This window comes from Homo sapiens, chromosome 5 (assembly GCF_000001405.40).
Source record: "Homo sapiens chromosome 5, GRCh38.p14 Primary Assembly".
NCBI classification, from domain to species: Eukaryota; Metazoa; Chordata; class Mammalia; order Primates; family Hominidae; genus Homo; species Homo sapiens.
The window spans coordinates 109727951-109747732 of record NC_000005.10 but is presented as its reverse complement, the minus strand read 5'-3'; the positions used below and the strand labels follow the sequence as shown (position 1 = coordinate 109747732).

General features: G+C 37.1%; 1 protein-coding gene across 5 annotated transcripts in view; it reads right to left on the bottom strand.

Moving 5' to 3' along the window:
• The window catches only part of MAN2A1 (mannosidase alpha class 2A member 1), a 179699-nt gene that overhangs the window by 121893 nt on the left and 38024 nt on the right, over window positions 1–19782 (bottom strand). For all 5 annotated transcript variants that reach the window (XR_007058604.1, NM_002372.4, XM_011543395.4 and 2 more), the window contains one exon: window positions 18220–18391. Coding sequence is in view for 4 of the 5 variants with exons in the window: in NM_002372.4 (NP_002363.2) it covers window positions 18220–18391 (172 nt within the window). In the remaining variant the exon portion in view is untranslated. The remainder of the gene's footprint in view (window positions 1–18219; window positions 18392–19782) is intronic.

The window sequence follows — 19782 nt, the reverse complement described above, 5'->3', positions numbered from 1 at the left end:
AAGCATGTCAACTTGCTTGTTCTAAAACAATTTGGGGAAAGCCCTAGAGAATAATGTTTTAGGCAACAAAGAGGACAAAATCATACAGCTAAATGTTGATTATATTGTCAGTCAAATGAAACTGCTGTACCCACCCTCTCCCCCCAGCTCTTTGTTACCTTTGTATAAAATTAGATTATAAATAGAGATCATGGATACAAACAGATGTTTTCAAAGATAAAAGTTAAAAAATTACCTAGATCTCCAAAAGTAAGAGATTAGTCAAGTTAACTCATCCATACAGTGACAGAACATTATTCAGCCATTAAAAACGATATCACAGAAAACTAGTGAAATTCATAAATGTTTATAATGTATTTTGCAAAAAAGCATGACATAAAAATATAACAAAAATACAAGAAGCACACATACAGAATTACTGCCATTTTCATGTCAATGCTTATCATGCTCATATTTATGTCTATGTAAAATATTTAAATGTTTTACTCTGCCAAAAAAATACACCTAAATGACAGTGATTAAAAAAAAATTAAACATAGAATTATTATGTGATCCAGCAGTTCCATTTCTGGAGATGGAAAGAAGGGACCTGGACAGATATCTGCACACTCATATTCACAGCAGCATTATTCACAGTGGCCAAAACGTAGAAACCACCCAAATGTCCATCAAAGGATGAATGGATAAATAAGCTGTGGTATGTATTAGGTTGGTGCAAAAGTAATTGTGGTTTTTGTCACTACTTTCAATACATACAGGGGAATATCATGTAGCCTTAAAAAGGAAAGAAATTCTGATACATGCTACAACATGAATGAGCCTTGAAGATACTATGCTGAATGAAGTAAGGCAGACAGAAAAGGACAAAAATTATATGATTCTACGTACATAAGGCACCTAATAGAGTAGTCAAACTTGTAGAGACAGAAAACAGAACAGTGGTTGCCAGGAGCAAGAGGAACGGGAATTACTGTTCAACAGGTACAAAGTTTGCATTTGGGGTGATGACAAAGTTCTAGAGATGGATGGTAGTAACAGCTGCACAATGATGTAAATGTTGTAATGCTACTGTACACTTAAAAATTGTTAAAATAGTAAATTTTATGTTATGCTTATTTACAATTTAAAAAATAGACCCACTCAAAAAAAAAAAAAAAAAACCAGCACAATGTGCATGGCATGCTATCATTGTATAATATATATGCCTATGCCTTTATGTACATGTGCATATGTTTTCCCATACATCCATAAAATAAATAAGAGCCTGGTCATAGTAGTTACCTCCTGTGAAAAGAGCAAAATGACAAGGAGACAGGAGTGGCTGAGTACCTTACTTTTCATTGTGTATCCTTTGTATATATTGGGGCATATATTAAAAAGTAAATTAAACTAAATTTTTTTCTGAACTATAAATGCTATAACCTGTGTCTCCTAAGCACTGAAAACTAACAAAACTGAGGCCAGACGCGGTGGTTCACATCTGTAATCTCAGCACTTTGGGAAGCCAAGGCTGCCAGATCACTTGAGGTCAGGAGTTCAAGACCAGCCTGGCCAACATGGCGAAACCCCATCTCCACAAAAAATACAAAAATTAGCTGGGTGTGGCGGCACATGCCTGTAATCCCAGCTACTCGGGAGGCTGAGGCACGAGAACTGCTTGAACCTGGGAGGCAGAGGTGGCAGTGAGCCAAGACTGCAATACTGCACTCAGCCTAGGCAACAGAGTAAAGATCTGTCTCAAAACAAAACAAACAAAAAAAAGTAACAGAACTGTAGCTTAAAAATAGTCATGAAAATTTATTTAAAAATGTCTTGGGACCAAGTGCAGTGGCTCACACCTATAATCCCTGTGCTTTGGGAGACCAATGCAGGAGGATCACCTCAGGCCAGGGGTTTGAGGACCAGCCTGTGAAATATAGTAAAACCTATCTCTACAAAATTATAAAAATTGGCTAGGCATGGTGGCCTGCACCTGTAGATCCTAGCTACTCAGGAGTCTGAGGTAGAGTATCACTTGAGCCCGGAGTTTGAGGTTGCAGTGAGCTATGATAGTACCACTGCACTCCAGCCTGAGTGACAAAGACCCTGTCTCTAAAATTAATTAATTAATTTAATTTAATAGAAATAAAAATAAATTTCTCATATGGTTCAATAATTTCTGCAAAGTTTTAATAAGCAGGGGATGTACTTTAAATCTTTCACTGTATAGTAAACAATACTTTATTCATAAAATACTCATTCAAAATAAGTTGAAAAATGTGAAAGACGTTAAAGAATAAAATTTAAAAACTCACTACCTTGATATATATGCACAAAGGGTTATGGGAGCCAGAGTTTTTAACCAAGTTAATTTACTTAACATTATACCATGAGCATCTTTCCATATCAAGAGAGACATATATCATTATGTTTACTGTATTGTATTATATTATTGTATTTATTGTATTGTATGTTTATATTGTATTACATTTTCTAAAATATTTTAATTGAGATATAACAATATACAATACACATATTTTCAGTCTCATGAATTGTGACAACTGTAATCACTATCCAAAATAATATAGACTACTTCCACCAATTCAGAGAGTTCCCTCATGCCCCGTTCCAATCCATGCTCGCCCACTCACCCTGCCCCCAAAAAACACTCTGACATTCCATTTCTATCACAATAGATCAGTTGAGTCTCCTCTCAGAATTCATAAAATGGAAATCAAACAATATTTACTCTTCTGTCTCTCTTCTTCTGCTGAACATTTGTGAGACTCATCCATATTACTGTGTATTTCAGTAATTTATCATTTTTTTACTGCTAGGTATTCTGTTGTATGAATATACAACAATTTTTTAATCCATCACCTGCTGAAGGACATTTAAACTGCTTGCAGTTTGAAGTTACTAGGAAAAAGCCTGTATGAAAATGTCTGTACAAGTCTTTTTGTGAACATTTTTTCATTTCTCTTGGGTAAATTGCTAGGAGTGGAGCCCCCAGATCACATGGTATATATTTTAAGTTTGGAAAACTCTTTGGAGGCTTTTCAGAAAGTCGCCCCCATTTTGCATTCCCACCCGCAACATATGAGTTTCTGTTGCTACACATTCTTGCCAACTTTTGACGTTGTCATCTTTTTTATTTTAGCCATTCTAAAAGGGTTGGAAACAGTATCTTCTAGAAGTTTTGATATGTATCTCCCTGATGGCCAAGATTTACCCAGCTTCTACACACACACCCTCGCTGCCCACCCTCCCCAACTGCTGCTGTCTAATAAACATCTTTCAGATGTTCAAACATGCCCTTGTTAATCCCTGGCCCATAATCACCATTCTCTTCTCACAACCTAAAATTCCTTCTCTGCCCTCTGACACCCACTTCTTGACTGGCTAGTTCTAGTCATCATTCAGGTTTAAGCTTGAATATCATTTGCTTCAGGAGGCCTTCCAAGACCCCCTTCTTGCCTCTATAGAAGAAAACCCTTTATTATTATACTGTGTTTAATTACATGTCTTCCCTGCTGTTTTCTGAGGGCTGGGACCAGGTCAGTCTTGCTTACCTCCTACATTTCTGGAGCATAACACAATAAATATTTGCTGAATGAATGGTAGAAGTAAATAAGGGAAGGTTTCAGAGATGAGGTAATATTTCAGCTGAGTGTTAAAAATGAGTAAGACTGAAATTATCCACTGCACAAAAGGAAAAAAATAAAAATCCAAGCTGAACACAGGCAAATTCCTAAGAAGCACAAAACGGCATGTGTCTGAGGACACCCGTGGCTCAGAATGCCTGAGTAGAGTGTGAAGCAGGAAGTGACTGGAGATAAGGATGAGCAAGTCGGGAGGAATCAGACAGAAAAAGTCAGTATGTGTCAGGCAAAGGATAGTGGCCTGTGCCTTTTGAGACTGAAGCACCACAAAGCATTTTAAAGCAAACATGGTGGGACTCACATATTAGAAAACTAACTCTGTTGATGAAATGGCAGACACTTAGAAGTGGCACAGCTGGAAATGGAAAGGCCATTTGGAGGTTTTCACAATAGTACGAGACAAGAGCAATGGAGACGAAAAGCAGGGGTCAGAGTCTGGAGACACTGAAGAGGCAGAAGTCACAGAGTTTAGGGACTAACTGGATGTCACAGGAAAGGGAGGTGGAAAGGCAGAGCACCACAGAGGTGAAGATTATTTGCCCACTATTTCTGGGGCAAGACTGCCTGGCTTGGGTCCTATTTCCACACTTACTAGCTGGGTGACCTTAGGCACTTTCCTTAACACCTCTGCTTCAGATTCCTCAACAGGAGAATGAAGATGATAAAGAACCTTAACTCAAGAGAATGCTACAGGATTGGCTGAATAATTAAACGAGTGCTTATCTCTTACTATTGCCACTAACTAGAGAACAAGAAGTCCAGGTTGGATCTTTAGATCTGGAAGTAGTCCAAATGCCTGGTAATTAAAACAACAGTGTGGAAAAGCATGCAAAATGAAGAAAACTAAGCAGTGTTCCCCAACAGGCGAGAACAGGAACATTGGGGAAGTAAGCAGAAGAGGAAATCAGAGAGGTGATGAAAAATGAATGGTCAGCAGTGCCAGAATAGACCCGAAAGTGAAAGAGCTCAAGGTCACTTCAAAGCCAAAAGAGGACAGAATTTCGAGGAGAATGGAGTGATCGATGTCAATGCTGCAAAAAAATCCTCTCTGAGGCTTGAGAAAGTATCCAAGGGATGGGCAGAGCACCTGAGAAGTCCCTCATGGCTTTTACAGGTCTCCATGACATAAATAGATGCCAGTGGTTGAAGGGAATGAGAGGTGGAAGGATAGCCGTCTCACTCAAGACGAACTGGAATTGAAAAGGTAGGGATAGAACATATGCTTTCTAAAATAAACGTAAACCACTGCTTCAACTATTAGAACTAAAGTTATTTTAGACCCTGGTGCATTGCTTTCAGTGCTTTGATGAAATGCTAAATATCTTTAGATTCTAAACTCAATCCAAATCTGCAAATGACTCTGAATATCACAAGACACACTGTAACTTCCCATTGCTCTATAAATTTTACAGCAACCTTCAGTTAAATACCATAAAATCCAACCTGTATAAAACGTATAATGAATTAGTCTGTTTAGGAAGATTAATAGTCCAATTTCTTAGAAAACCCAAGATGCACATTAGTTAAGTTTGGATTCTTATTTAAAAATGTAACATCAAATATTTCTCTGATTTCAAGAAGCAAGCAGAGATAGTTGAGAAGACAGTGGAAGGTTCACTTAAATATAAACCTAGGGGAAAAATTGTAAGAAGATAGTACAAAGATTATATAAATAAAGAGTTTGCATTCTTGCTAAAGCAATGAAACCCACCAATTTGGTGAAGATAAAAAATCTATACTAACTGATGGTACCTTCATCTCAGCACACATTTGGAGCCCCTTTTCACACTAAAAGATCCACAAAGAGAAACTGGTCAAGACTTTGGTGAATATATAAACTGTTCTTAGGTTCTAATAATTCGTGGGTTTCTCCACTCAACACTGGTCTCAATAGCAAGAGCAGATGCAATATAAAAGCTGTTCCAATATCTCAGAGCCCAGAGAGGAACAATGAATATGTAACATGCTGTGTGCTAGTCAAAGGAAATGCTAAGGCTAATGTTTCAGCTGCCTGACTCTCAATAAGGGTTCACATTTTGATGTATTATAAACATCATGCAGTATTTAACTGCATTTAGCCAAAAAATATTCAAATGTGAAGCCTAAAAAGTTTTAAAAAATTACACCACCAGTCATTTTCAAAATAAAACAAGCATAGAAAACAATACACTGATTATTTAATGGAAGGCAGCTTCTTTTAAATCCACTGGATATGTATTACCAGTAGGTACTATGATTATAATTGATTAAATTATTTCAGATCACACAAAAAAACAGAAAATATAGATGTTGTTTACGTAGATCTCTCTTTAGTTAACTAGATTTTCACTTTTAAAAGCTTATAGAGTTGAATAATAATGCTGCTGGGGGAGGGGATAAGAATCAAACAAGTCACTGCTAGAATAGATTATAAGGATCATTTGAGTTTTGTTTCTGTTAAGTTCCCACAATCAATTGGTATTCTTCAGGGACAATGAAAGCTTACGTGGAACTCTGCTGGAATTAACAGGTTCTGCTCTGCAACAGCTAGCTTGCAAATTTAGGTACAGATTTAATCCATAGCTCATCTTCAAAAAGAGAAAAGCCACTGCATAAGCATTACACTAGAAGTCACACAAAAAAATCTATTAGTAATGCCACTTAGTACAAGCTCAGAATTTAAATAACAGGAGCAAACTTAAATATCTATTAAGTTTTCCTCCAAAAACATACATTTAAGCAACTAACACTAAGAATGTTTTGTTCAAGTAAGTGGGGGGGAATGCTATTACCCTAGTTCTAAAAACAAATGTAATAAGTGAATAAAAGTGAATTATTACAGCTAGAAGAGAGAGAACTTTAGCAAATCTTGACCAGAAACAGAATTCATCTGCACTAATCTGGCTATAAAACCATTTTTCCTTCAAGCAAAATGATACTGTTCACGATCAAGCCTGTATTCCAGAATATTTTCCAATGCCAAAAAAGCTGTTCTCACTCAGAAGGAATCTGAGTGAGACAAATCTGAGTGAGACAAAGATTGAGCACTAGATTCTAATCTGCAGTCCCCTCCAATATCTTACCATATTTTATGTGTAATATTGGACTGATGCATGAAATTGCCATTTTTGTATATCAAAAGTAGTCAAATATTGGCAATTTTATATGGTTCAACCTAAGAAAAATAACCAACAGAATAAAAAAAAGAGAGAGGGGAGGAAAATTTGCATCCAGGTAGAGTCAGGAGAAACAGGCCATCCGCAGGCCATAAAATTGGCAGCATTTCTGACAGATATGGTAAAAGTAAAACTGAAATAATTCAAGTACTGACCTGCAACTGCCCTGCATGAAAAATCAGCATGGAATCCCAGCATAAATAAGAAGATTCTGAGAGATTCGGTCAACAGCTCCTAAACTGAAGGGCCAAGGGCTGAGGCAAAGCTGAGTCTTGGGACAGATACTAATCACAGACTCTTCGCCCTCATGGCACTTGTGTGAGTCCCCCTCTGCAGAAGTCTCTCTGCCCATGCACTGTGACTGCTGCAGAGGCAGTCTCCTTAATGAAGCCATGCTGGGAGAGAGCCAAGCATGGCTGGCCTCACCTGACCACAAGCAGCCAGCAGCAGACCCAGTTTCCTTCTGAGGTGGCTGGACTCTGTGAAGCAGCACATTCAGACACACATCTCCTACCTGGCTTACAGGCCACACAAAAACAAAGCTAGAGGGAGAAAGCCAGCCCCAGGCTCAGCAGCTACACCAAAGAAACAGAAAACCTTTCATAGATGGGGCACTCCTTTTCCAGATCTTCTCATAGCCCCAGCTCCTCTCTTCTCTCACTCTGTCCTATTTACAACCAGGACACCTTCCCCAACTGCTGATCCCTGATTCTCATATAATCTTGCAGGATGTAATTCTCCAACAGAGGAACTAAGGAGACGTTGTAAGTTCCTATCAGCTAGCTTTCTGGTTTGCAAGCAATACAAACTGATGCTGGATACTGTCTTGAACACACAGAACTGAAGACAGGCTAAAAGTCCAGGCTTAACAAAGGGCTGGAGGAAAATGAGAAATCATGCTGCAGGGAACACAGGGATCTTATTACAGGAAGAGTCTTGCAAATGCAAGGTGCTGTGAGGAATGACCAGTAAACATTCTTCTGTGTCTGCTTCCCTCCCTCCATCTGTCAGCCCTCACTTCGCTCTCTAAAGATTCAAAGCCCTGGGAAATAATATGCTGATTAACTGAGCTCAGGTCACAGCTGACTTGTCTGGGCTAGGCAACAAGGAAGAGGAGCTGACTTCCTTGGGTGAGAGACCACTTCCCAAAAGGAAATCAGGTGAAGTGGATGCTGGTCAGCCAGTAATAACTAGTACCCACAGCAAGGAAACTGAAAGTATATGGTTAGAAAAGAAAGGGATTCAAGGCAAGTTACACCATGTTTTGGGACAAATTCCAGGTGTGGATACAGCTGTTGCTGCTCACGGATAAATAAAAAAGGAGGGAAATACTTGGACTTACGGACAACAATACAAAAAGCACAGAAGTAAAGTTAGAACCAAATACTCAAAGCCAGAAAAGACTCAATACCAGAGTACTGAACCGAGGGAGTGGCAGGGAAGACTCTTGGGAAAAATCTCCCAAAACACAGTAAATACAACAAATTAAAAATGCATATGAAAAAGAGAGACTAGAGACACAATAACAACGTACTTGAATTCTAAAACAAATGAAACAAAAGCAGTAGTAAATCAGTAAGTACAGAACACATAAGCTAAAGAAACATTTGAATTGATAGGTGGAAATCTTAATGAAAAGTTATACTACCTAGATATATAACTTAGTGAAAATTTGAAATTTCATAAATAAAGTAAGTGAGCATGGGGAAAAAGTTACCTTCAATGAAGCATTATATAAGAAAGCTTTAAGAGAGAAGAGAAAAAAAAATTACAGTTAAAATCTTCCCATTATACGGACTGAGCACAGTGGCTGATGCCTGTAATCCCAGCACTTTGGGAGGCTGAGGCAGGTGGATCACTTGGGCCCAAGGGTTCAAGACCAGCCTGCGCAACATGGCAAAATCTCATCTCTACAAAAAATACAAAAATGAGCCACCGTGGTGGTGTGCGCCTGTAGTCCCAGCTACTGGAAAGCTGAAGTGGGAGGATCACCTGAGCCCAGGAGGTTGAGACTGCAGTGAGCTGTGATCATACCACTGCACTCCAGCCTGAGAACAGAGTGGGACCCTGTTTCAAAAAAAAACAAAAACTAAAAGAAAAGTCTCCCATTATAGAAGACTTCAGCATTAAAAATTACATATGGTATCCAGGAGAAATACTCAAAGTCTCAAATAAAAGTTAAAAAAGCACTAATGTTTATTGGGGTTTTAAAATGTGCCAGGCATTGTGCTAAGCATGTTGTCTGAATTAATTCAATCCTCACAAAAACCAAATAAAATTGGTTTCAATATTATCCTCATTTGACAAATGAAGAAACTGAGGTATAGAGAAGTTAAATAACTTGCTCAAAGCCACACAGTAGATGGGACTTGGCAGAATTTGAACCTAGGCGGACTGGTTCCAGTTCCCAGCCTTTAGAACCACCAAGCTGACTGTCCTTCAAGTAAAAAGGACAGCAAACTCAAGCAAACGAACAACAAAAGAGTGGTAGTATAACAATATTAATTATAAAAAAGAGAAAAGATGGTATCAATGATGATACATACAGTTTACAATGAAGAAAAATAAATCTTAGTCTAGGAGTGCCCACCTTGCAGTCCCTGTCCCATAGTAGACGTTCGGGAAGTGTCTGTTGAATGAATGAATGAGCTAATACAGAAGCCAACAAAGATCAGGCAAGAATGGAAAAAAAAAAAAAAAAAACATAAAATACCCAAAAAATAAAAGCTGATAGGGGAACAGTAGCAAAAAATAAGTACAGTCAGTTCTGCCATAAACACTTGTTTCAAAAATGGGAATGAGTTCCCAGGTGATTGATTACATGAGGAAATAAATTTTGCCTTGCTTATGCACAATTTAGTCTCCAAGAAACATTAGATGAAGGTACAAAACTTCACGCAGCTGAACAAAGCTGTATAAGGAATGCACAAAGCACACGCACACACCTCAAACATCTACCAGCTCCCTCAGTTCATCAAGGGTTATGAGCCACAGTCATCCACATCTGCTATTCAACTTTCCAAAAGATTTCAGCTAACCTACTTGCCATCACTTCTCAGTAATAACTCGAATCTATACTCCTTCCAATACACCCTTCCACAAGCAAACTTTAGGCCTTTTTCAAGGTAAACTGACATATATATTTATGCATTTTTTAACCAATTTAACACAGGTAAAACTGGATTAGCATCTTTATTAGGTTTCCATGTTCTGTGTGTGTCTACATCACTAATGAAGTTTTAGAGTGCTACACTCTAACGATACTTTTTCATGAGCCCTGGGTTTAATATTGCACAATTTTGCATAACATTATTTTTAAGAACGTGTATGCAATATGACAGCAAAACTGACTGTACGAAGATAAAAACAGTAGTTGTAAAATACGGAATTAGCAGATACCAAACTCTATATTCTACAAACCCCACCTTTTCAAACACCAGTAGAAGCTTCATCAACATTGATCACACATTAAGTAACAAAAAAAAAAAAAATTCAAAAATCTCTAAAGAATAAAAAGTATACAGGCCAGGGACAGTGGCTCATGCCTGTGATCCCAGAACTTTGGGAGGCTGAGGCAGGTGTTCAAGAGTTCAAGACCAGAGTTCAAGGCAGGTGTCAGGAGTTCAAGACCAGCCTGGCCAACATGGTGAAACCCTGTCTCTACTAAAAATACAAAAATTAGCCAGGCATGGTGGCAGGTGCCTTAATCCCAGCTACTCAGGAGACTGAAGGAGGAGAACCGCTTGAACTGGGAGGCAGAGGTTGCAGTGAGCTGAGACCACACCAGTGCACTTCAGCCTGGGTGACAGAGCGAGACTCAGTCTCAAAAAAAAAAAAAAAAAAAGAGTATACAGTCCATATTCTATGGCCATAAGACATTAAAGCTAGTTTATAATAAAGTATAACTGGGAAAAAATAGCACTTGCAAATTGAAAATTATTTTTCTAACATACCTAAGTCAAAAAGAAAACAGTAGTACAGTTATTAAATATGTAGGAAAAATACAATAATGAGAAAATAGCATATAAAAACATAAAAGCTAGTCAGACTATTGCTAAAAGGTAAACACACAGATGAACTTATTAAGTGGACTGGCTCATTTAGCATTAGTGAAAGTGAGTAGAAGGAATTAGGAAAGATGAAAGCAGATAGGTCAAGAGTAAAAACTGGTAAAATATAAACAGGTTCTAGGAGGGTAAGGTGGGCAAAAACCAACAAAATTAAGTAAATCAAAATGAAGAAAAAAATCAGATTCCCAAAACAAGTAACAAAAAAGCAAAAATAACTACACATGGGATAAATTCTTAAAATCAGAAACAATCTGAGTAACTATAAAATTATTTTCTTAGAAAATACGAAATATTTTTCATGCTCAAGAAGTAAGGTAACACCTAAAGACCTAAAAAAAACTTTTTTTTTAGAGTTCCGGTCTTGCCCAGTCACCCAGGCTGGAGTGCAGGGGCATGATCACAGCTCACTATAGCCTCCAATTCTTGGGTTCAGTTGATCCTCCTACCTCAGCCTCCCAGGTCACTGAGATTATAGCCATTAGCCACTGCACTTGACAAAAAATTTAAAACTTAATCAAAAAATTGCCTTTATAAAACAAATATCAATGCTTATGTGGTTTTCCAAGACAGTTATTAATGTTTAAAAGGTTGCAAACTAGTGTATCTAAACTACAGATTCAGAAATGCTGATGTGATCTGTTTAGCACTGTGTGAGTGTGTCTGCAACTCTGTGTGTGTGTGTTTATGCATGCATATGTGTGCATATCCTGGTATATTAATCTAAATTAATAGCTAACATTTCAGTGTAAAAACTCTAGGTATTTTACGTAATATTTTGGAATTCTAGTTTGTCTTGAGTAACTGGAGGGATATCCTGACAACTCTGGTTCCAGTAGCAGCACATGCCTAGAGTGGATGTGGCTAGCCCCTTTGGATGAGGTAGTTAATTAATCCCAGTACTGGTAGAAAATATACCCTTCACTTCCTAGTCAAACCTGTAAGCATTTTAAGCCTCCTATCAAGAGGGAAAAAAAAAAAAAAAAAAAAACTCCAATGGAAATTATAAAAAGTCAATTCTCCCCAAATTATCTTTAAATGTTTACATCAATTTTCATCAAAATCCAAAAAGATTACTTTTTTGATGGAGTACGAAGAATTTAACAAATTAATTACAAAGCACTTTGGCAAAATTCAATGTTCACTCATTGAAAGAACTTTTTAATATAGTTAAGAATAATGTGCAGGGAGCAGCCAAGATGGCCAAATAGGAACAGCTCCGGTCTACAGCTCCCAGTGTGAGCAACACAGAAGATGGGTGATTTCTGCATTTCCATCTGAGGTACCGGGTTCATCTCACTAGAGAGTGCCAGACAGTGGGCTCCTGAAGGAAGCACTAAACATGGAAAGGAACAACCGGTACCAGCCACTGCAAAATCATGCCAAATTGTAAAGACCATCGAGGCTAGGAAGAAACTGCATCAACTAACGAGCAAAATAACCAGCTAACATCAAAATGACAGGATCAAATTCACACATAACAATATTAACTTTAAATGTAAATAGACTAAATGCTCCAATTAAAAGACACAGACTGGAAAATTGGATAAAGAGTCAAGACCCATCAGTGTGCTGTATTCAGGAAACCCATCTCACGTGCAGAGACACACATAGGCTCAAAATAAAAGGATGGAGGAAGATCTACCAAGCAAATGGAAAACAAAAAAAGGCAGGGGTTGCAATCCTAGTCTCTGATAAAACAGACTTTAAACCAACAAAGATCAAAAGAGACAAAGAAGGCCATTACTTAATGGTAAAGGGATCAATTCAACAAGAAGAGCTAACTATCCTAAATATACATGCACCCAATACAGGAGCACCCAGTTTCACAAAGCAAGTCATGAGTGACCTATAAAGAGACTTAAGACTCCCACACAATAATAATGGGAGACTTTAACACCCCACTGTCAACATTAGACAGATCAATGAGGCAGAAAGTTAACAAGGATACCCAGGAATTGAACTCAGCTCTGCACCAAGTGGACCTAACAGACATCTACAGAACTCTCCACCCCAAATCAACAGAATATACATTTTTTTCAGCACCGCACCACACCTATTCCAAAATTGACCACATAGTTGGAAGTAAAGCCCTCCTCAGCAAACGTAAAAGAACAGAAATTATAACAAACTGTCTCTCAGACCACAGTGCAATCAAACTAGAACTCAGGATTAAGAAACTCACTCAAAACCACTCAACTACATGGAAACTGAACAACCTGTTCCTGAATGACTACTGGGTACATAACAAAATGAAGGCAGAAATAAAGATGTTCTTTGAAACCAATGAGAAGAAAGACACAACATACCAGAATCTCTGGGACACATTCAAAGCAGTGTGTAGAGGGAAATTTATAGCACTAAATGCCCACAAGAGACAGCAGGAAAGATCCAAAATTGACACCCTAACATCACAATTAAAAGAACTAGAGAAACAAGAGCAAACACATTCAAAAGCTAGCAGAAGGCAAGAAATAACTAACATCAGAGCAGAACTGAAGGAGATAGAGACACAAAAAACTCTTCAAAAAAATCAATGAATCCAGCAGCTGGTTTTTTTTTTTTTCAAAAGATCAACAAAATTGATAGACCGCTAGCAAGACTAATAAAGAAGAAAAGAGAGAAGAATCAAATAGACGCAATAAAAAATGATAAAGGGGATATCACCACCGATCCCACAGAAATACAAACTACCATCAGAGAATACTACAAACACCTCTACGCAAATAAACTAGAAAATCTAGAAGAAATGGATAAATTCCTGGACACATACACCCTCCCAAGACTAAACCAGGAAAAAGTTGAATCTCTGAATAGACCAATAACAGGAGCTGAAATTGTGGCAATAATCAATAGCTTACCAACCAAAAAGAGTCCAGGACCAGATGGATTCACAGCCGAATTCTACCAGAAGTACAAGGAGGAACTGGTACCATTCCTTCTGAAACTATTCCAATCAATAGAAAAAGAGGGAATCCTCCCTAACTCATTTTATGAGGCCAGCATCATCCTGATACCAAAGCCTGACAGAGACACAACCAAAAAAGAGAATTTTAGACCAATATCCTTGATGAACAATGATGCAAAAATCCTCAATAAAATACTGGCAAACCGAATCAAGCAGCACATCAAAAAGCTTATCCACCATGATCAAGTGGGCTTCATCCCTGGGATGCAAGGCTGGTTCAATATACGCTAATCAATAAATGTAATCCAGCATATAAACAGAACCAAAGACAAAAACCACATGATTATCTCAATAGATGCAGAAAAGGCCTTTGACAAAATTCAACAACACTTCATGCTAAAAACTCTCAATAAATTAGGTATTGATGGGACGTATCTCAAAATAATAAGAGCTTTCTATGACAAACCTACAGCCAATATCATACTGAATGGGAAAAACTGGAAGCATTCCCTTTGAAAATGGGCACAAGACAGGGATGCCCTCTCTCACCACTCCTATTCAACATAGTGTTGGAAGTTCTGGCCAGGGAAATTAGGCAGGAGAAGGAAATAAAGGGCATTCAATTAGGAAAAGAGGAAGTCACATTGTCCCTGTTTGCAGACGACATGATTGTATATCTAGAAAACCCCATCGTCTCAATCCAAAATCTCCTTAAGCTGATAAGCAACTTCAGCAAGTCTCAGGATACAAAATCAACGTACAAAAATCACAAGCATTCTTATACACCAATAACAGACAAACAGAGAGCCAAATCATGAGTGAACTCCCATTCACAATTGCTTCAAAGAGAATAAAATACCTAGGAATCCAACTTACAAGGGATGTGAAGGACCTCTTCAAGGAAAACTACAAACCACTGCTCAATGAAATAAAAGAGGATACAAACAAATGGAAGAACATTCCATGCTCATGGGTAGAAAGAATCAATATTGTGAAAATGGCCATACTGCCCAAGGTAATTTATAGATTCAATGCCATCCCCATCAAGCTACCAATGATTTTCTTCACAGAATTGGAAAAAACTACTTTAAAGTTCATATGGAACCAAAAAAGAGCCCGCATCGCCAAGTCAATCCTAAGCCAAAAGAACAAAGCTGGAGGCATCACACTACCTGACTTCAAACTATACTACAAGGCTACAGTAACCAAAACAGCATGGGACTGGTACCAGAACAGAGATATACATCAATGGAACAGAACACAGCCCTCAGAAATAATGCCACATATCTGCAACTATCTGATCTTTGACAAACCTGAGAAAAACAAGCAATGGGGAAAGGATTCCCTATTTAATAAATGGTGCTGGCAAAACTGGCTAGCCATAAGCAGAAAGCTGAAACTGGATCCCTTCCTTAAACCTTATACAAAAATTAATTCAAGATGGATTAAAGACTTAAACGTTAGACCTAAAATCATAAAAACCCTAGAAGAAAACCTAGGCATTACCATTCAGGACATAGGCATGAGCAAGGACTTCATGTCTAAAACACCAAAAGCAATGGAAACAAAAGTCAAAATTGACAAATGGGATCTAATTAAATTAAAGAGCTTCTGCACAGCAAAAGAAACTACCATCAGAGTGAACAGGCAACCTACAAAATGGGAGAAAATTTTTGCAACCTACTCATCTGACAAAGGGCTAATATCCAGAATCTACAATGAACTCAAACAAATTTACAAGAAAAAAACAAACAACCCCATCAAAAAGTGGGCAAAGGACATGAACAGACACTTCTCAAAAGAAGACATTTATGCAGCCAAAAAACACATGAAAAAATGCTCACCATCACTGGCCATCAGAGAAATGCAAATCAAAACCACAATGAGATACCATCTCACTCCAGTTAGAATGGCAATCATTAAAAAGTCAGGAAACAACAGGTGCTGGAGAGGATGTGGAGAAATGGGAACACTTTTACACTATTGGTGGGACTGTAAACTAGTTCAACCATCGTGGAAGTCAGTGTGGCGATTCCTCAGGGATCCAGAACTAGAAATACCATTTGACCCAGCCATCCCATTACTGGGTATATACCCAAAGGACTATAAATCATGCTGCTATAAAGACACATGCACATGTATGTTTATTGCGGCACTATTCACAATAGCAAAGACTTGGAGCCAATCCAAATGTCCAACAATGATAGACTGCATTAAGAAAATGTGGCACATGTACACCATGGAATACTATGCAGCCATAAAAAAGGATGAGTTCATGTCCTTTGTAGGGACATGGATGAAGCTGGAAACCATCATTCTCAGCAAATTATCGCAAGGACAAAAAACCAAACACCACATGTTCTCACTCATAGGTGGGAATTGAACAATGAGAACACATGGACACAGGAAGGGGAACATCACACTCTGGGGACTGTTGTGGGGTTGGGGGAGGGGGGAGGGATAGCATTAGGTGATATACCTAATGCTAAATGACGAGTTAATGGGTGCAGCACACCAGCATAGCACATGTATACATATGTAACTAACCTGAACATTGTGCACATGTACCCTAAAACTTAAAGTATAATAATAATAATAAAAAAAAGAAACACGCTTTCCTATTTTTAATAGCCTATGATAGTCATACAGAATGAGTTAATTAAAATTGATTGGTCAATTGCTTAAAAAAAAAAAGAATAATGTATCATATATTTCAAAATAACTAAAAGAGGAGAATTCCAACATTCCTAAGACAAGAAAATGATAAATGTTTGAGGTGACAGATATCCCAATGACCCTGATCTGATTATATATTATATGCTTATATTAAAATACCAGATGTACCCCATAAACATGTACAACTATTATGTATCCATAATAACTAAAAATATTAAAAACAAAAAGATGAGAAGGAACGTCAAATGTCAGTTAACGAAGTATATTATAAAGGCACAACAATTACAGTCAAACAGAAAAGTCCATGAAACAAGTCAAAATGCCCAGAAACTAATGCATATTTAAATATAATAAAGATTGCACTTCAAATCACTAGAAAAGGATGGACTAATTCAATCTTAGGAAGGCAGGATGGCGCAGTGTGCAAAGAAGACAGCCTCTGGAGGTGGACAGCCTGGACTACATGGAATGCCAGGCTGCCCTGTGATCCTGGACGACTCAGTGTCCTTATGTGTAAAACAATGATAACAATTGTACCTATTTCACAGAATTGTTTAGAAGATTATTAGTTACAATTTGTAAAGTGCTTAGAACAGGGACTAATACAGTAAGCGCTGTATAAGTGACATTAAATAAATTAAAGAAAACAATTCATTATAAGATAATTCTTAACTCCAGGGGATACATGGAGATCAGAAAACCTCCCATCGTAACGTATTTTTTTTAATCAGTTTTTTAAAAAGTGAATGGTAAAAAATGAAATTAGGAAGAAAAAAAGCACTATTTATTTGACCTCTAGATTGGAGAAAACTTTTTAAAACATGACAGCAAAAGCAATATCTGAAGAAAACAGAATAACAGATTTGAGTAGATAAATATGTTAAAATTTTGTATATCAAACACTAAAAGATGAAAATAAAAATCTGAGGAAAAATATGAGTTAAGGAGTATATGTATAAATACTCCTACAAATCAGTAAGAAAAAGTACAATAAGCAAGTCACAAAAACCTTAACCTGTATGAGAAAATATGCAACACTGTTACCAATCAAAAATTAAAATTAAAATTAAACTTTTCAACCATCAAATTGGCCAACAACTTCAAAAATTATATTGCTGACTAAAAAGCAAATAAATTGATACTTTCTATATGGAAGATTGAAATATACATTGAAACAAACTATACAGGTGTCACTTTAATTATATACTTAAAAAAAACTTTTAAACTATTAAGCCACTTTGACCTAGTAATTCCATTTGTGGGACAAAGTTGTAACATAGGATTTTTTTCCCCCAAGGCAGAGTCTTGCACTGTTACCCAGGCTGGAGTGCAGTGGCACTATATTGGCTCACTACAACCCTCTGCCTTCTGGGTCCAAGCATTGTCGTGCCTGAGCCTCCTGAGTAGTTGGAATTACAGGCGTGAGCACCACCTGGCTAATTTTTTTGTATTTTTAGTAGAGACAAGGTTTCACCATGTTGGCCAGAGTGGTCTTGAACTCCTGCCCTCAGGTGATCCGCCCACCTCGGCCTCCCAAAGTGCTAGGATTACAGCAGTAAGCCACTGCTTCCAGTGGAACACAGGATTTAAATGGAAAAGTTTCAAATGGCTTTTTCAGAGATGAACCAAAATCAACGAAAACGGTATGTGAAGAAATATTTTAAGTTTCAAATATAAAGCTAAGAATTTTCACCATCTAAAAATTCAATACTTAGTTCATTGTACAATTAAGCTTTAATATTACCAAATTCCAAAAAAGTTTTAAAACAAACCTTTTAACAGCATCCTTCTTCTGAATATCTATAATATCCCACCACTTTGAAAGGTAAGAGATCTCAGACCAAATAAACTTCCTCCGTGAGTCTTCTTTCAGCTTTAGGACCATGTTATTAAAAATATACTGAGTCTTGTCTCTAAAGTAGTCATTGAAAGTCTTCAACCAACCTAAATCAAGACACAAATATACCACAAAGGTCTAATTCGTATGGCTGATTTCAACTCAGTCACATTCCATTGCATTACTTTGGACATCGTTAGAATTTTCATTCATAGACATATTTTTAAATTTAACAGGTGTTTTCAATTAATGAAACTCCATTTTAGTTGTCATGGGACTCAGAAACCCACTAATATTAAAACAATGAAAACACTCTGAAAACTGCACAAATTCAGATAGAAATGAGAAAAATAAGATAGATGACCTAAGGCCAAAAAGCAGTTATTTATATTTTAATAATTATAGTATCTAATTCAATTTTTTATCTCTAAGGAATTTTTTTTGAATTTTAAAAATCTAAACACTGTTTACAAGTTGGCAGTACTGTTATCCTAATAGGGGATCCAAATTTTATCCTCTCATGCCACATCTAAAATTCTTCACCCATTAAATAAGTTAAACTAAGAAAAAAGAGATTGCAAGTATAAACTATACCTAAAAGCTTTCAGCAGACCAATAAGGTAATTACACCATAAATATGAACACTGAGAGGTAGAATTCTGCAAAATACAGGCATTTGTTCCCAAAAGCTGTTCATTATTCAATTCCTTAGAAGCACAAAGTAACACTAATCAAACAACAAATGCGAATGCATATAGGTAAAATTTTTCAAAAAGAGAACTGTAGATGTTGACAGTTTGCTTCTCCTGTTTTTTCCTCTACTTTCCAAATATCCTGGAAATTTTATCTAAAGATAGTTGCAATTTGGCTATAAGAAACATTTTTAACACCAACAGGTGCAAACATAGCACCACAAGGCAGACTACTAAAACGGCCAAGCAAAAACGTACACAGCCACCAATTCTGTCTACTGGTGGCAGGCAAAGCAGACCCCCTAAAAAATAACCCGTTCCCATCTAAAAAATCGTATAAGGAGAAGTTCCTGTATATCCAAGCTGAACTATTGGTCTATTGTTTCCAAACTTACATGTGAGAGAATTAAAGAGTAAGAGGGTCCAAATGGCTGTTTCTTATCTGTATATAGTTAAATTAATATGTATACTATATTTGCTGGCAAAAAATAAATAAATAAATAAAAAATAAAAGCCTGCCAGGGCAGAGAAGACAAAACTATTCTGACAATGTGAATATGAGCTTTTGAAAAGAGCACTGCAGCTATGACTTATTTATTCCTCTTGCTTTAATTGAAATCTACTCATCCATCCTACAATTATTTACTGAGCACCTACAATGTGGCACGTATGAAGCTATAGGCCAAATAGAAATATAATGTCAAATAGTCTTTATAGGACTTTCTTGATCTGGGGCACTTTTAACCTGATTTGGTACCAAAGAACACCTCCTGGATACTTCAATTTTTCCACATTTAACTAAAAAA